The sequence below is a fragment of the Homo sapiens genome, chromosome 14 (genome assembly GCF_000001405.40).
Source record: "Homo sapiens chromosome 14, GRCh38.p14 Primary Assembly".
Classification (NCBI taxonomy): Eukaryota; Metazoa; Chordata; class Mammalia; order Primates; family Hominidae; genus Homo; species Homo sapiens.
This window is the reverse complement of record NC_000014.9, coordinates 24871767-24888788: the sequence shown is the minus strand read 5'-3', so window position 1 is coordinate 24888788 and position 17022 is coordinate 24871767. Positions and strand designations below refer to the sequence as shown.

The following is a 17022-nucleotide window of genomic DNA, read 5'->3' as shown; positions in this document are numbered from 1 at the left end:
GAAAGGGATTGGGGCATCTAAATATTTTCTGGAACAGACTTTGAACCATTCTTTTTTTTTTTTTTTTGAGACGGAGTCTAGCTCTGTCACCAGGCTGGAGTACAGTGACGCAATCTCAGCTCACTGCAGCCTACACCTCCCGGATTCAAGCAATTCTCTTGCCTCAGCCTCCTGAGTAGCAGGGATTACACGCACATGCTGCCACGCCCAGCTAATTTTTGTATTTTTTAGTAGAGATGGGGTTTCACCATATTAGCCAGGCTGGGCTCGATCCTCTGACCTCATGATCTGCCCACCTCGGCCTCCCAAAATGGTGGGATTACAGAGGTGAGCCACCGCACCCAGCCCATTTTTTCTATCTTAGCTCTATCTCACCCCTACTTCCAAAGGTAGTGATGATGCCTTAAAATCCTTAGATTTGGGGAGATTCTCTGATGTATATTGGGTGGGTTGCTTTGTGGCTTTTCCCTACTGCCAGCTTAGGTTTTAGCTTTCTTGTGCCTGTTTGGGTCATTAACCACCTATCCATTTGTAATATAGCTTGCAAAGTTTTGTTGATGTTGTGTTCTCTTCCATTTCATTTGTCTTTGGGTTTGTGCCTTTAAAAGATAATCTCCTTAGTCACTTTAGTGAGGTTTAAGAGAAACCACAAGTAAAGGCATGTGTTCAGACCATGGTCTTGACCTGGAATTTGGTTACCTTTTCTATGAATCATGAAGAACAGAAGTATATTGGCTTTGCTTTCCTTATCATCACGTGATTAATTATTAAAATTGTGTACTATATGTCTTTAAACTGTGTATTAAACTTAATTTTGTATGAGTGTGTCTAAGCTTAAAATAGAGTGGAGAATAGCAAAAATAAAGAAATGCAGTGTGTCCTAAAATATGCAGCAATTTCCTTCCCTCACTGCTAGTAGGACTTGCATCAAGCTGCATTAGCACCAAAAATGTATTCTTTACGCTGACTTGACGATACTTAGTGGGAAGCATCTGCAGTCAACATCTCTGCCTTAAACCCCTGGCACAGGGAGAGGGGTGGGTTTTGGTTTTCCTTTAGTGTGTTTTATGTGATGGTAATTTATATTTGCCACCCAAATAGTGTACTTTTGGGGCATTTACTATTAGGGAGTTGTGGCAAATCAGAAATGATTTGCCTGAGTTCAGTGAAACCTTTCACATCAGCACATTCTCACTGTTTTTCATCCCTGGTGCCTACAGCAAAGATTTAATAAGCCCTGTTTGCAAAACAAAAAGAGAAAAAGAGTAATGGCTCAATGGAAGCCTCCATTAATGTTTGAGACCACTGACTGTTGAATCCAAATATAGATTTTAGGAAGAAGGGCTGAGGAGAGTGAATTTCCTCTAAAAGATAAACCTTTTCATCTTTGCTATGAGATTAAAATTGAATCATGAAAGTGGAAAAATTAATAGTTGGGAATGTGTTCTAAGTATGATGCTTACTTTTTGTTGAGAATTCCTTAGTTGCTAGTGATGATAAATTAACAGGTTCAGAATTTTGCTGATTTTCAGGAAAAAAAATAAGGATGAATACATGATTTACCTTTACCGCTTTTTATAAAAGTCATAATGAAATAAAGCACCAAAGTGTAGAGAAATGTTATATGTATTATAATAGTTTAGGAAGCTTTTTGTTAAGGCCTTAACTATCAAGAGCTTATACATTTCTGGAAGTAAAATAATACCTTTCCTGCCAAAATACCTTCTCATTCATGCTTTGAGTCCTGATGTCACTTTGGGTAGGACAGAAGCTAGATGAAATTCTGTAGTTGCATGTTTATTGTTTAGAAACTCAATGCAAGGGATTTCATGACTCTTTTGGGAGGGTTCAGAAAGTAGAAGGCATAGCTCAATACCTGTGGATTGGATTCAAGAAAGAAACAGCAAGATATTCTACAATGCTTGACTAGGAGTTGGGAAACTTGGATTTTAATCTGGATTTATCTACTTATTAGTTACAAGTCCTTCTCAATTGCTTTATTGGTGTTTTTTAAAATTCTAAGGTAGCTAAAATGCATGTGGCACAAGAATAATGTGATACAGTATGAGAGTGTTACTTTGAATACCAGGTTTAAGTTCAGACTGCACAAAGTGTTGGCAAATGTGTAAATAGTTAAAGTTAATGTGAAATGACAAGTCATAAAGGGTGAACAGAATTGTTGGCAATCCACAGAGTAATTAATACTACCAAATTCCAGAATAAAATAACAAGAACATGTCATCTGAATTGTAGATGAGTTCTAGATAGCAAAGATTTCTCAGAGATGGTTATTATGATAACCAGCATTTATTGAATACTTAATATGTCAGGTCCTGTATTAAGGTCATTAGATGCATTATCATTTATAATCTTTATAATAACTTGGATTTACAGTTACTGTTATTGTTCCTATTTTATAGGTAAGAACATGGAGGTATAAAGTATCCCAACCAAAATCGTACAGATAAGAAATGGCAGCTCAGGCACTTGTAGCTGGGTCTTTTTGACTCCAAAGCAAGGTGTTTTTAACCACTATGTAATATTTCAAAAATTGGCACCAATTGAGAATTATATCAGAATAAAATATCAGAAATAGCTAATGTTTCCCTCCTTTTTTGTGAACTCAAAGCGATTGGGGCAAGTAGAAGTTTCGCAGGTCATATACAGAAAGTGTTGTCGGAGTGTCCTGCCCTGAAGAAGATACTAACCTAGCTGAAGAAGAGGGGGATTAACCAACTGCGTAAGGAGACCAGGCAATGTGTTAACATAGAGAAAGAAGCTAGGCATGTTTACCCTGGATAAGTGCAAATTCATGAACACTAAGTTCAGATATCTGAGAATTGTAAATGAAAGGCAAACCAGATTTATTTTCTGGGACTCAAAAACCATATTCATATATTCCTGTACATGGAGTAAAAGGGCATCCATCCACAAGCAGTAGTAAATTTTCTGTTACTAGGTAGTATCACGTCACGTGGATGTCATAGAGGATGGCAACAAGCACATGGCCAATGTTCTTTAGGGTTCTTTTAACCTAAAAGTATAGATCAAAGATATTTAGATCAGTTTGGACTAAATACTGAATGCATGAGGAGGATTTCAGGGAGAAGGCAAACGTTGAGCTGATAACTGAGACAATGGATGTCATTCATCTGTGGATTGTTAACAAGTGCAATTGCTGTGACTAGCAGAGAAACTAGAAGAACCAGAGCTGTGCCTGAGTTAATGATTTGGGTCATGTTTGCTCTTCTCTGGCCCTTGGTGGCCTCCCTTGTGAAGGTAGGGGATTGAGTGTAATGGGCTTTAAGGCCTGTCTATCCTAGGTACTCTTAGAGTCCTGAGGTGGCTCTCCTGTAGCAAGCCTGCCTGGCCTTAGCAGTTTACCCTGTGGCCTTTGGATATGCCAAACCTTGAGTACAGGAAAATAGACCTTCTTCTTAGAACACTTATTTTGGAGATGGAGGGGCTCATCACAGCATGAAGACTGGCTTTTTTGGCAACACCTGGGAGAGGTGGCAGACACCTCAGAGAACCTCTCAATTCCAACGTATCAGGTGTGGTTTTTCTTTTTTTAAAGCAACGTTTTTGAATTTAAGTAAAGAATAGAAATATCACAGAAACTTTATGGTCCTCTTAGATTTTCAGATATACCCCACTAAGTTTTATCTTACCCAGAGCAGGCAGGTGGAAACCTTGAGACATTTTCCTTCTAAATAGGTGTATCATCCTTGCTTCTTGATTTTTCATGGCTAGGCCAGAACAGAGCACTGATGGGGAAGCAATGAAGTCTCGGAAAAGCTAGAAAAGCAGTCTCTTGTGTTTCCTGACAAAACTGTGGAATGTATGCTTCCTTATGCCTTTCATCTTCAGAACTTTAAAAATATTTATTTCTCATGTGACTTTACACATAAAGGCAAAAACCATGTCAAGACATAGTGAGGAGCTTTATAATTCAGCATTTCATACTGAGTGTACCTGTCATGGGGCAAAATATATAAAAACAGGATTCATAAATAATAAATTATTAATAGGGTATTCATAAACATTATAGATCCATATGCTTTACTGAATATGTGCATATTTTTGGAAAGTTAGCATTGAAGATCGATTTGCCAGGAGAACTACTTTGGTGCAAAGTCATTCTATGTGTATGCTTTGGGAGAAGACACAGAGGCACAGTCTCTGAAGCACCATGTCAGCGCATGCCGCCCATCTTGCACTGACGGTTGGTTCACGTAGGCAGTGCTTTGGGTTTTTTGTTTGTTTGTTTGTTTGTTTATTGCTTTTGGAAAGTAAGCTATATTAGAATTACTGTCCGCTGGAAAATGAGTCAAAATAGGATTCCTTTATTGTGTCATTGTAATTTAAAATGAAAATTTGTTGATTCAGAAATGGAGATGTTGGTACCTTCTGTTTCTGAATTTCCATTAGGAATGGAAGATGGAAATCAGGAGCTGTTTGCAGCTGTTCTTCAGGTCATTTTAACCAAAACTCTTTAAAACTATATTTGAAGATATGAATGTGTTTTGACAAGAGGAAATTGTTCTAGTTTTTCTCTAGTATACCTTTTAAGGATTAGATTAGTCTGCAGCCAGTCCCACTCCACAGAATGTAGGTGGCTGATGGATCCTTTGAATCTTAATAATTTGTGGAAGCCTTCTTTTTCTTTGTCTTCTGAATAAGATGTGCCCCCCCACCTTTTTTTTTGGCAGAGATAGCTATACAGTTACATGCTAAAAATTGATTATGAAATTTATTAAAGAGAAGACAGCCTTTAATAAAAGAGGGGTTTTAATATTAAAGAGGAGAGTTAATGTTTTTAGTTGTCCCCTATGTTTAAACCTTGTTTTAAACATAGCTTTTTCTTTTGTTTGCCAATTACTTAAGAGCTTGTGTTGTAGGAAACTTCCAATTCAAAACATGTTTTAAAAACCATTCTTTTTTGGGGAGGATAGTCTGACATTTCCATTTGCTTTTGCAGAAGAATCCCAGGGGGATTAAACACTATAGAAGAACAAAAACTGGTGAGTAAGCCAGATCTCAGAACCAAATCTTCACAGTGGAAACTCTACTGACTAATTCCAGCCCAGTGATTCCAGTGGGTCATTTTTTTTGTAATAAATAGAATATCTGGGAAGTTTTTCACATCTAATAGCCGCCTTTGAAAGTATTCAACATGGGTGCTTTAGGAAATAAGGGGTTTCCGTATCTAGATAGTTGGAGATTTAATATTTGAGGCTTCTACCATTCATGAGCACTGTCTCCATGGTTTATGTCATAAATTTTTGTGGTTTCCTTGATACAATTTTTTACCAATACAAATTTTAATTACCAAAGTAATAGTGGTATACTTGTTGGGATCCCAGAATAGATAGAGGACATTATGTAGAGACTAAGGAAATCTGAATGAAGTATGAACTTGATTTAATAGTAATGTATCACTATGGATTCATTAATTGTTACAAATGTTCCTTTACCACTTTTTTGTAAATCTAAACCTATTCTAAAATAAAGAGTGTATTTTTTAAAAAAAAACATGCTTTTAGCAGTATTTCTATACTTGAGAAGTACTCTGTTTACAGAGAAGTAAACACTCAGAGGAACACCATATCTATGTGTGTGTTTGTAGTTATGAGACATATTCACATATTGTTTCATAATTTCCTTTTCTAAATGAACATCTTTCCATGTCACTAAATATTTTATAGCATTATAGTTGTTGCATATTTAATTATGTGAAAATACAACAGAATGCATGTAACTAATCCCTTTTATTGGAAATTGAAGTCATTATCCATATTTCATTACTATAAACAATGTCATGACCTAACTATGTAATTAAAGCTTTATTCACATTCACTATTATTTTCTCAGGAGCAGTTCCTAGAAATATTACTGACTGAAAGAATATACAAAGTTTCAAAAGTGTTGCCAGCTTTTAGATACGTAAATTTGAATTACATATCAAGTGGAGCTGATTATGTATGAAGGATTATATGAACAAATAAACTTATAGTGGAGAGGTGGTAGGCTAGAGCTAGGCTGATTTAAGGGTTCTATCTATCAATGAATTTAGTAATTTATTTATGAATGTATTCCCTTGCTGAGAATGACTAGGGGTGGGGTAGTGAACTAGAAGAGAATGATCAAATAAATAAAGCCCCAGGGAGGCATGTGAAAGAGAACTGAGTGAATACAGGTCAGTTCAGGCTTGGCAAGAAGCAGAGTACTAGAAACACGTAAGGCAGCTCTGTGATTGGGTGTATTCATCTCCTGTTGGGTCCAGTGAGGAGACACACAGTTCTGCTTGAGCTTCAAGCATCTCAAGGTTAAGGAAGTTGGGACCAAGTCCCTTAGGTATGGGAAAGCCCCTCTTTTTTTTTTTTTTTTTTTTTTTTTTTTTTTTTTTTGAGACGGAGTCTCGCTCTGTCGCCCAGGCTGGAGTGCAGTGGCGGGATCTCGGCTCACTGCAAGCTCCGCCTCCCGGGTTCACGCCATTCTCCTGCCTCAGCCTCCCAAGTAGCTGGGACTACAGGCGCCCGCCACTACGCCCGGCTAATTTTTTGTATTTTTAGTAGAGACGGGGTTTCACCGTTTTAGCCGGGATGGTCGCGATCTCCTGACCTCGTGATCCGCCCGCCTCGGCCTCCCAAAGTGCTGGGATTACAGGCGTGAGCCACCGCGCCCGGCCGAAAGCCCCTCTTATGCTCAGTCACCCAGAGGAAGGGTAGGCATTGATGGGCAGTTCAGGTAGGAACTGGTCTTGAGATAGGTTAAGATGTGATAGTGAGAGGAGGGCCCTGCCAATGTATAGGAAGGAGAAAACTAACTTCCTGATTTGCACCTCCCAGTCTGTAGGCCACTGGCCTCCAATTTTTGGCAAATTGGAGATCTTCCCCATTCATAGAGATATTCGTAAATCCATCCTGCACATCTTCGCTCCAGCCAACCACTAGCCCCTGTACACACAGTTGCTCTGTATTCCCCACCCTTTTGGCAGCTACATTTCAGAGTGATGACTGGAGCTAGGCCTACTCTTAACATTGTCATTATTTTTCACAAGCAAGTCAGCCCAGGTCACCAGCTTCTTAAAAATGTATGCTTGTCATTGCTAGGAACAGTCCTCATGTGATTTTTCAGTCTGTCCCTCTGCCTTCAGGGAGGTTATGTAAACTCCAGTCTAGCACAGCTGCCTTCATATCATGACTGGCTATAAATGGACTTCCATAGTAAGTTGTGTCTTTATATTCAGATACACTAAATTTATGAATGTCATCTCTGCTGTTTTACTTCAGCTTGTCATTCTTAACATTTTCTTGATTCAGGTGTTTTCCCACTATACAGTTTAAATGCCTTTTTCATGGTATTTTGAATGGAGTCTCAAATACTTGAGTTATTTTCTCAAGTCTATTCCCTAGACAGGGATTTGCTTTTCTGCCATTATTTAAAGAGTATTCCAATGTAAACTACATCTGCTGGCTGGAGCCCTGGCCACCCACCATGGCCTTTAGAAAGAGAAGATTCAGGAAGTAGTGGAGTTCCAAGAAAGTATAGAGAAAGCTGCCTCTGAGTTTTACCCTTCAATTAGTGGCCCACAGACACTGAACACAGCCTGAGCCTTTCCCAAAGTTCCCACTGTTCTGTTCAGATTTGTAGAAAAAAAAAAAACAGAAGCAGATCAAACCTCTGGACAGCTCACTGGAGGTAACATTACCTGCAAAGTAAGGTGTATGGGGAAGCAAGTAGATAGTAGAGGAATGAAAAGTGTGTGAGAATAATGCTTTCAAAACAGTAGGATAGTATCTGAAAAGTATCCTTGGTTTTTGGATTTTCAAAACAATGAGAAAACACAGTTGCAGTGGATGAATGTCGGAACCTTATGAAATGTGACTCATCTGACCTTTCAGAGATTGGAACTGCCCCACAGTGCTGTTCTGCTAACTCTTCTTCTCTGCCCTCTAAAGTCCCTGCTTCCCTTTCTTTCCTTTTTAGTACCGGGGTGTACATAATCGATCCATCATAATCATCAGTTCATGACATGTTCTCATCATTGATCCATAGCACGGCCTTGTTTTTGTATTTGGTCATTTAAAATAAATGTCTGTTTTATTGTATTAATGGGAACTGGGATATTTCCAGATTTTTGCTCTCATGGCTCCCTTTACCTTTCATTTTCAATACAGAGCCCAAATACTCAGCACCAGATGGTAGGGAGCAATGCATCATGTACCTGGCCTACAGTTTCTGCACTAGAGACGTGGTCCTTTTACTGACTTCCTGTACGTTTCCTGGTTATGACCCTCCCCATCCTTCAGAGGATCTTCCTCTCTATGCACGTTGAGGCTGATGAGACAAGCCTCTGTTGTACCTGTGGCACAGTAAACATGTGGACATGAACTAAGCATTAATGTACCCCCAAGAGGTTGGGAATAGATTTTCCATTCTCTGGAAAATTTTCACAATCTTTGCTCCTGTGCCTAGTTGCTATGTCTTGTTTTGTTTTGTTTTGTTTTTTTCAACACCAGAAGCAAATTCCTAGTGGTGCCTAACTAAGGAAACTTTCCGCTGGTTTCCCTGGGGAATATTGTGAACAATATAGTGAATTAGTAAGTACTTTTTAAAATGTTTTCCCAGCACCCTTTAGCACAAGACAACTCGGGACATGACAAGGAGAGAAGACAGATGCCAGTTCAGTAACTAATGTCATATCTTAGTCTTTCACTCACAGAGGCAGCCAGTCCCTTCTCAGACTACATGACTGTCGAACATAGTGGTAGAAACAGATTCATGACTTAATAGATGACGAAAGGGAGTATACACCAAGAGGATAGAAAGGAGCAAGAAACAAATCATCTCCAGGTTGCCCCCATGTTGGTGGTGGGTTCGGAGCAGGCAGCCAGACACCCTCAGCGGGCATTTGCTGCCATCTGTTGCCCCTCAGGAGCTGCCCTACCACTGTGTGGGAATTGTGATCTCTGCTTGGCTTTTTATTGTTCACAGGGGGCAACTCCTGCCAACCAAGATCCTGTTTCTCTATTGTAAAAAGAGTGCCTGGAGCTTAGAGAAAGAAAGGCGACGTGGAAAGGCAAGAAACATTAAAAGGAGAGGAATAAAATGGATTCTGTCAACTTGTTTGTCTCCTTTTTTCCTCATCTCTTCTTAAAATAATTGGTTTAGGACCATAATAGAATCTCCATCAAACAAACCCTGAGAGTCAGTTATCTTGCATGCAAGCAAGAAAATAAAAGTGTACCAAATGAGATCATGGAGTCCGAATGAAAAGAAATATTGATCCACACTGAGAGTCAGCCTGGAGCAGGGAGGAGGGCAAGAAACTTTTTTATCTTTCGATCAATAATATCTTGATACTAAGTGTTTATTCCAGTATCAAAATGGATTACCGGAAAAGCTTTGGGGTACAAAACTCTTTACATGTAACTTTGTTCTTTTCCTTTTGTTTAAAGAAGGAAAACTTCTATTATGCTTCCATTCTCTATGTAATAAACACATTTAAATGTTGGGCTGTAGAGGAGATACAAATGACCATAGCAAAACCAATCTTACATATTATTTTCTATGTAATATTTGATTATTCATTGTTTGATAGGAATGATAAATTCAGTAGATGGAAAGTTCCTTCTTTTTCTTTAAAAGGAAGCTATTTTTTTTCTCTACTTTGTTGACATGGCTCGTAGTTTAAATTCACCTGACCATTTGTTTTTTGTTGTTTATTTTCTTAGAATTCATGTATTTTTTATCATTTTATAGGCTGTCAATAGGCTTTCTAGCATTCACTAATTTAAACATGTTTAAGGCACGTGGTCATTCAGGTCAAACACTGTATAATGAGAACTTTAGGTACAGTGTTCTTTTATAGTAATTCTTTATAGTTCACAGTTCTGTTTCAGTAAGAATAGGGAAAGGCATAATAGCTCCCTGTTAATTTGCATTGTTGACATAAATCTGTTTACACAGATATCAAGTCAGCTTCAAAGGAGAAAACATTTAGTGAATTTTAGAGAGAAGACCAGCTAATGAGGATGAAACGTGTGTTATGGTTGAACATCCCAGCGTGTCTGCTAAGAAATTCAGTTTAAGAAAAGGCCATTATCACATTGTAGTGGTGGACTGAAAAAGGTAAATAAAAATAAATTTAAAAATAAATAAATAAATAAGAAAAGGTTATTAGATATTTTAATTGAGGTCTTCTCCCAGTACTGGATCAGCTCTCTGAAAGGATTGAAGGTCACATGTGAAATTTGTGGTCAACAAAAATGTATGGAGAATTTGGTATAGGATAAAATTAGTATCTCAAATCAGTGAGGAAAAGATAAAGTGTTAAGAAATGGTGTTAGAATAACTAAATCACAATATGGAAAAAATAAAGTTGAATGCATACGTGACCCTACTTCATAAATTTCAAACAGATGAAATATTTAAATATTAAAAAGTAAAACCAGAAAATTTTTTAAGGCAGATTCTTTGGTGTAGGGAAGGATTTCCTGACCACGACTGAAAATCGTGACACCATAGAAGAAAACATTGATGAATGACTATTTTTTAAAAAAAGCATAACAAAACAAAACTGCCAAAATGTCATGGTGCAAATCCCCATAAGTCAAAAGACAAATGCCATACTGGGAGAATACTCAAATCACAAAGGGCTAATCTCCTTAGAATAGAAAAAACCACTAGAAACCATTAAGAAAAAGGTGGTCAACACAATAGAAAAATGGGCAAAAAGAAAAAATGAACAGATGATTCACTAAATACAAATGGACCTCACCAATAATAAGACAAATGCAAGTTAAAACTACACTGAGATATAATTTCTCATCTCTCAAATTGGCAAAAAGCATAGCTTGACTACACACTGTTTTGGCATGTATATGAGGAAATAGATATAGATTTCTGGTGGGAGTGCAAGATGTTACATTGCTTATAGAAGGCCAGTGGTAATATTTATTAAAATTACAAGTACATTTGCTCTTTAAGTGTGTAATCCAATCCACTTCTGGAACTTTATTCTCAAAACATACTTGCAAAATTATTTATGCAGCATTGTTTGCAATAGTAAAAGATTAGAAACAACTCACTATCCATCAGTGGGGGACTGGTTAAGTAGTTCATGTTTCATCCTTAGAATGGAGTTAATGTTATGCAGCTATACAAAGTAGGAAGAAGTTTGCTGTGAATTTAGATTTTTTCCACGAATCTTGAGGAGTTCCGAGATAAAATAATAAGGAAAAGAGGGAAGGAGGGAGGAAGGAAGGAAAGAATATGTATATAATATGCTACCTTTTGTGTAAGAAAGGGAGGAAATGAGACTGTTTATTGTTATTTCCATGTAAAGAAATTATCTAAAGGTATACAGGAAGGCAGGGGAAGAGGAATGGAAAGGAGTAGATGGACACAGAGATGGGAGTAAGATGTCTCAATATGTTATTTTTTGATTGTGTGAAAATGTATTGCATGTTTAAAATAAAATTTTAAAAAGAACAAGTAGTCAGCAAGCACTGGCAGCATTTATAAAATGGTTTTGAGGTCTTTGAGTACAGACCATCATAAAAGAGCCATTGTATTCAATTAGCAGATGTCCAGCCAATGTCTTCTGGATGCCCCAGTGAGTGACCAGATTTCTAATATGTTCACAGATGTTCTTTGTTTTGTTTAACCACGCTATATTAATAAAGCTCATACTTCTTAGCATTCCCTATAAGCTTAAGCAATACTGATTGCAATTAGGCCAAATATATACCTGCTGAATTGAACTCTTCAAAGTAGAGTTTTATGAGAAGGGAAGCCAAGCTTAAAGAGTGAAATATTTTGATAATCCCTGGCATATAAGAAAATTTAAGAAAACCAACCAGGCTTAACATCTTCAGCTCAAAACACTACTTAACTGTGTGTTAAATTATAGTGCCAAAATTCATTCACTTTCCATTTGCATCTGATTCATCATTGCTCTAATTTTTAATGTTCTTAAACATTACCAGTTGAAGCTGTTAAAATCCAGTAAGTGCCTTCGCAGACCCAATTAAATGCCCAATTACCAATTTTAGGCTCTTGACTTACATTTTAAAATTAAGTGAACCTTGCCCTGCAGCTGAATTGCTAATGGATAGCGTATCTCAAGGGAAGTAAGATTCTCAGTGTTCTCTCTCAGGAACATCGTTTCCACAGTTTAAGCAGAAACACAAGTACATCATTGCTGCTTCTATGTCAAACCCCTTGTGCTGCCCCATACTAATGTGAGTTATAACTATGGGTGTCCTTGCAAGAAGAGGAAGGAGATTGAGGGCAAACATGTGTTGTCAGAGCCTGGGCAGGGGCACTGGAATAATTTCCTTTTCAAGAAAATAATAGTGCCTTTGTGTTGAGGCCAGGAAACAAGATGAGGAAGTTTGGAGTTCTGCTTTTCAATATAAATATGTATTTAACAAGATTACTTCCTAAACATTAAGTTTGAGCATAGAGTATCCAGAATTCTTGGCCAGGATATGAGTTGCCTTAAGATTCATCCCAGGTCAAGGCAATCTAAAAGAAATCAGCTGCTCTCTGGCTGGCTTTATTTCTGTACCTGTAAGGCAGGCCTTCCCGGTTAGTAGGGTTCCTCTTTTTAGTTATGGAAGCACAAGGGTAGTTTCAGAGTTAAATGAGATCTGCCTTGCTTCTCTTTTCCTTGATCCTTATCAGCCTTCCACCCACAGCACAAATGACACTGCTTTCATAAAGAAGCTGTCCTGCATCCACCAAAAACCCACCTCTCACCCCACCCCTCCACTCTGTTTGGTGTTATACACTTGTGATGATAATAAATACACAGTGCCGTATTTATCATATCCTGCCACTATTTCAACGCTTAGGAACTTGTCATTTCTCTTCTGAAATGTGAACCCCCTGATGAATATGACTGCACTTCAATCACCTTGTACCTATTTCCACCCCTCAACTCATTTCCCCTCCCGCCACCCTTACCCCTTGTGTCACTTTTCCTTCAGTATGCACACAGTAAATATTTTTTGATGAATGTTATTTGTGCCTTCAGATTTTTCCAGAAGAATAGTCACACTGCTTTATGATTCAAGTGTTGGCAGTTTAAATTCCTCTTAAGTGAAATAGAAAATTTACATAAATGTCTCATATTCGGCTATGATTCCCTCCAGGGGAATTTAGGAAAGTTATGAGCATAACATCTTTCCACTTTCAACAGAATAGATTTCTCATAGCATGAAGCTCCTTCCTGCCAAGAGTCCTCCCCTTGCTACCCCACCCCAACAGTTCATCCAACAATCTTTTTAAGAATCTCAAATGAGTCCTAAAACAATGCCTGGACATAAAGAGTTGAAGATTCTTTGTGTGTTGGACGTTTAAAATGAATAGACATTATACATTTTCAGCTTTTATGTAAAGATCAATCATACTATTTTTATCTATAAAGTGGTATTCTGTTTCTCATTTTATCAGTGAGATCTCCAGGCTTGAGAGAAGGGGCATCACAGTGGGCAGCATGCACTTCTGTGACTCATAGAATTGTGAGGGCGCTCTTAGGGTCTTTCTCATCTGGTGTTTTTGAGACCCAGATAGGAAAAGACACATGTAATGTCCATGGACAGGTAGGCAGAATGGGCACAGGACCCCCAGCCTCCTGACTCCCGGTCCAGGGCTTTCTCTCCGATGCTTCCTCCCTGTTAGAGCTGCTGCTGTTATTCAGTTAGCTGCAGTCAGTGCTAATGGGTACAAGGTTCATTCTCCATGTAGAGCAGCTTCCTTTGCAGAAGGGATTGCTTAGTTTCTAGGCCAAATCCTGTGCTGTTTTGGCCCATGATGGAGCAGGCGAGGAATGATAGGGTGATTTGATAGCAGAAACACTGGCTTCCACTGGAGAGCCATTTTAATGAGCGTGTTCCCACTCACAGGGAGTCAGGAAGGAGCATCCCCATCCTCTCAGGAGACAGCCGGTCGATGTGTAATTCTTTGAAAGAGCCACCGTGTAGTGCTGGGACCCCTGCAAAGGGACCTTGTCTAAGACCCCCAGCAGGAAACATGTTATGGATTCTCACATAAATTTCCTTCTACTTTGTTGTCTCAGCAAACAACTTTTTTCTCATATCTGAAAAATAGTCACTTAATTAGCTTTACTCTTTGAATTAAAATGACCTTCTACCTGTGACAATACATGGACCATCCTAGCTTTCTGCTTGGCTTTATGCTTTGGTGAACAAAGCTTGTTTACATTTGGGAGCGATTTGGATTCTGGCTGTGTTTCTCCAGAGCCTTTCAAGGATAGTGGCTGAGACGGCATGGGTGGGATGGACCCTATAGCATAATAAAGTCTGTACCCGTCGGTGGAACTAGGGCAAGGGGCTTTCCACACTCTTCTGAACATACCTGAGCAACACTCTATGGAAATGTTGGCTAGAAATGGAGGCTAGTAGTATAATGAGTCCCATAATACAAATCTGAAATTAGGGCATAAGCACTGGACATCAGAATCTGAGTGACTATCCCTCTCATCTCCCTTGTCCCTAGCTTTAATAGGGATGCCCTCCCCACAACACCCTGCCCTCAATTCAGACGACTGGCCAGAAAATATTCCCTGTACCCTCAAAAGGAAGAGAGAGGGAGTGAGCAATTTTCCAAGGAAAAAGCAAGTGGTTTTTTTCTTCCTCCATCTCTTAAAAATTGCCGTTACTTAAAATTTGGAAGTTCCCGTTTGGAGTGCTCAGTGAATACTAACTTTAGTTTGTGATCCTACAAATGCTTCCCTTATCTCATTTGTAGGGCAGCAGAATTGACAACGAAGGGCTTTTGCATCTGCACATCAGCAAAAGAAGGCATCTGTCTATCCAAGGTGGGCATGGTGGTCTATGCATTGTTATACATATTGTCTTAGGAAAAGAGTATGCACAGGAGTTCAGGCAGACACAGCCAGCATCAGTTATGCTTGGACACTGTTCCTGCATTCTTGTCCTACACCCTCATTGTTCCCGTCATTCAGAGAAGAGTGAACCAGGGTGTGGATTTTCATCTGCAAAATGAATCTCCTTACAAAAGAGTCCTCAGGAAAAGGGAGAAAGTTAGTGGTTGTTGTCCAACACTAAGGAGGAAAAACAAATGTCGCACGCAGAAGGCACTGACCTTTCCCGTACTTCCTTCTATGGGGACACCACAATGGCTTGAGTCCAGAGATGGAAGTCACCGTTCTCATTGTTCATTTCATTAGAATCCCAAACCAATCACTTCATAGCCATTTCCACTCCATCTTTTACTCTGTTACCTCTGGAAATGTGGCTTTTTTACCATTCATTGGGACACATGAGAGAGTGACTATGCTGTGTGTTCATTCTTCCTCCCCTGAGGGATTCAGTTTCTTCCTTTCTTTGAGTCTTTCTTCAGAACTTGCCTTCCTCTGAAAACTGTCCTGGCTCTTCTGGCTTGTTGAACCCTCTGTTGGCCCTGAACTACCATTTCTTGCTTGAATTTTTTTTTTTATCTAAATGTAACCTGAAAACCGTTGAGAAGAAGGGACTATATTCTATTTTGCCTAGAATAGCAAACTACTAATAAACAAGATCCTACGGCAAGCTTATCAGGGGATACATTTTTATTTGAGGGAGGCTTATGCGTTCTGAATTTAGAATTTTTTATAAATTCATGATGAATTTGGCTGAAGCTTCCCTTTGCGTTACCTGTAGGGTGAAAATACTTCCCAAGCAAATGAATAGAATGAATAAGATGTACAAAAACAGCTTAACCTATTAAATTACAAATAAAAAACAACCTGGCAGTTTAGGACGAACCATTTGCTTGCAAATAGCATGTTTCCATTATGTTTCTGAATCAGATTCGGCACAACAAAGTCCCAAAATGAATGTTACAGAGAAAAATAAAAAACATTTTGGGAAAGGCAAGAAGTGTGAGCTGGATTTCTGAGGAAAGCCATGTGGCAGAGGGAAGATGTAGACTTGGCCTGTGAAGGATGGACACACGTTAGATTTGGAGGAGGTGGCTGTGAAGGCATCCCAGGCATGCACAGAGTTCTAACTATAAGGATCTAAGGATGATGGCCTGTGGTCAAGAGGGTAGCCATTGCACTACCACTGGGTGGACCGTGGCATCTCCCTACTCTCGTTGACTTCCTTGACCTCTTTAGCAGAGACATATAGGAGAGAGGCATTCACTCTATCCTTGTAACAACATCAAACCCTAAAGTGGCCTTTGTTAGTCACTGTGTCAGTCACTTCCTCTAAGGCTGCTTAGAATTGTCATGATTTTGTCAACTCTTAGGGTTTTGTGATGGCCTATGTGTCTCTGCTATACAGGGTCTCAAGTGCCTTGGAACTCCAAAATGTGCATGCCTAGCATTGTATGTTATCACTGACTTCAGGTATGAAGTCACAGCAGCTGAGAAAAGATTCAATAAAAAGACACTTGGAGAACTGTGGCCGGTTATCTTATTTGTAATTCCTGATTTGCCAATGTAGGTTTGCATTGCCAGGCACAAATACATTTGTCTTTCCTTTTTTTATATTTTATTTTGCATTTTACTCCTCAATGCTTATCTTCTGAGACCCATTTGGATTTCTTATTCATACTAGAGAGTGTCTAGGAATCTGCCGATTTGCTAATAGACTAAAATTTCTGTTTGAAAAAGTAAGTCTTCGTGGGAATTTTGGCATAGTTTAGTTTCTCTGTTTATTTGTTTGATATTGTTAGTTCCTGGAAAATTTTCCTTCTTTATAGAAGTGCTGGTACTGCTTAGTGCTAAGGTATGCGGGAGGCCCAGCAAAGGCTAATTAAGAAATTACTCTGTTGGCCATGGAGGTCTGGGCCCATGGAGTCAGATGGAGGCACCAGATTATTAGTAAAGACTCTCGAGCAGATGCATTGCCTTTGTGTCCTCACACATCCCAGAGAGGCAGGTTCTTTTAAAGTTACTAGCTCTGATGAGTCAGGTGAATGTTTTGATCCATGGTCCCAGGCAATGATATTTGAGTTTAGGTTATGGAAAGACATCAG

General features: G+C 38.9%; 1 protein-coding gene across 28 annotated transcripts in view, besides 2 other annotated features; it reads left to right on the top strand.

Annotated features, from left to right (window-relative positions):
* Positions 1 to 17022, top strand: part of STXBP6 (syntaxin binding protein 6) — a 240694-nt gene that overhangs the window by 161359 nt on the left and 62313 nt on the right. The window contains exons 2-3 of one of the 28 annotated variants that reach the window (XM_006720121.5): positions 9976 to 10137; positions 14785 to 14854. The exons of 25 other annotated variants lie outside the window; for them this stretch is intronic. The gene's annotated coding sequence lies outside the window, so the exon portion shown is untranslated. The remainder of the gene's footprint in view (positions 1 to 9975; positions 10138 to 14784; positions 14855 to 17022) is intronic. 2 more of the 28 variants (XM_047431299.1, XM_047431300.1) reach the window with 2 other exon arrangements.
* Positions 3012 to 3306: a silencer, noted in NCBI's record as "tiled region #2406; K562 Repressive non-DNase unmatched - State 24:Quies". NCBI's record gives its function as "represses a minimal TATA promoter and a strong SV40 promoter by Sharpr-MPRA in K562 cells {active_cell/tissue: K562}" and the evidence as "EXISTENCE:reporter gene assay evidence [ECO:0000049][PMID:27701403]".
* Positions 13612 to 13906: a silencer, noted in NCBI's record as "tiled region #10130; K562 Repressive non-DNase unmatched - State 24:Quies". NCBI's record gives its function as "represses a minimal TATA promoter and a strong SV40 promoter by Sharpr-MPRA in K562 cells {active_cell/tissue: K562}" and the evidence as "EXISTENCE:reporter gene assay evidence [ECO:0000049][PMID:27701403]".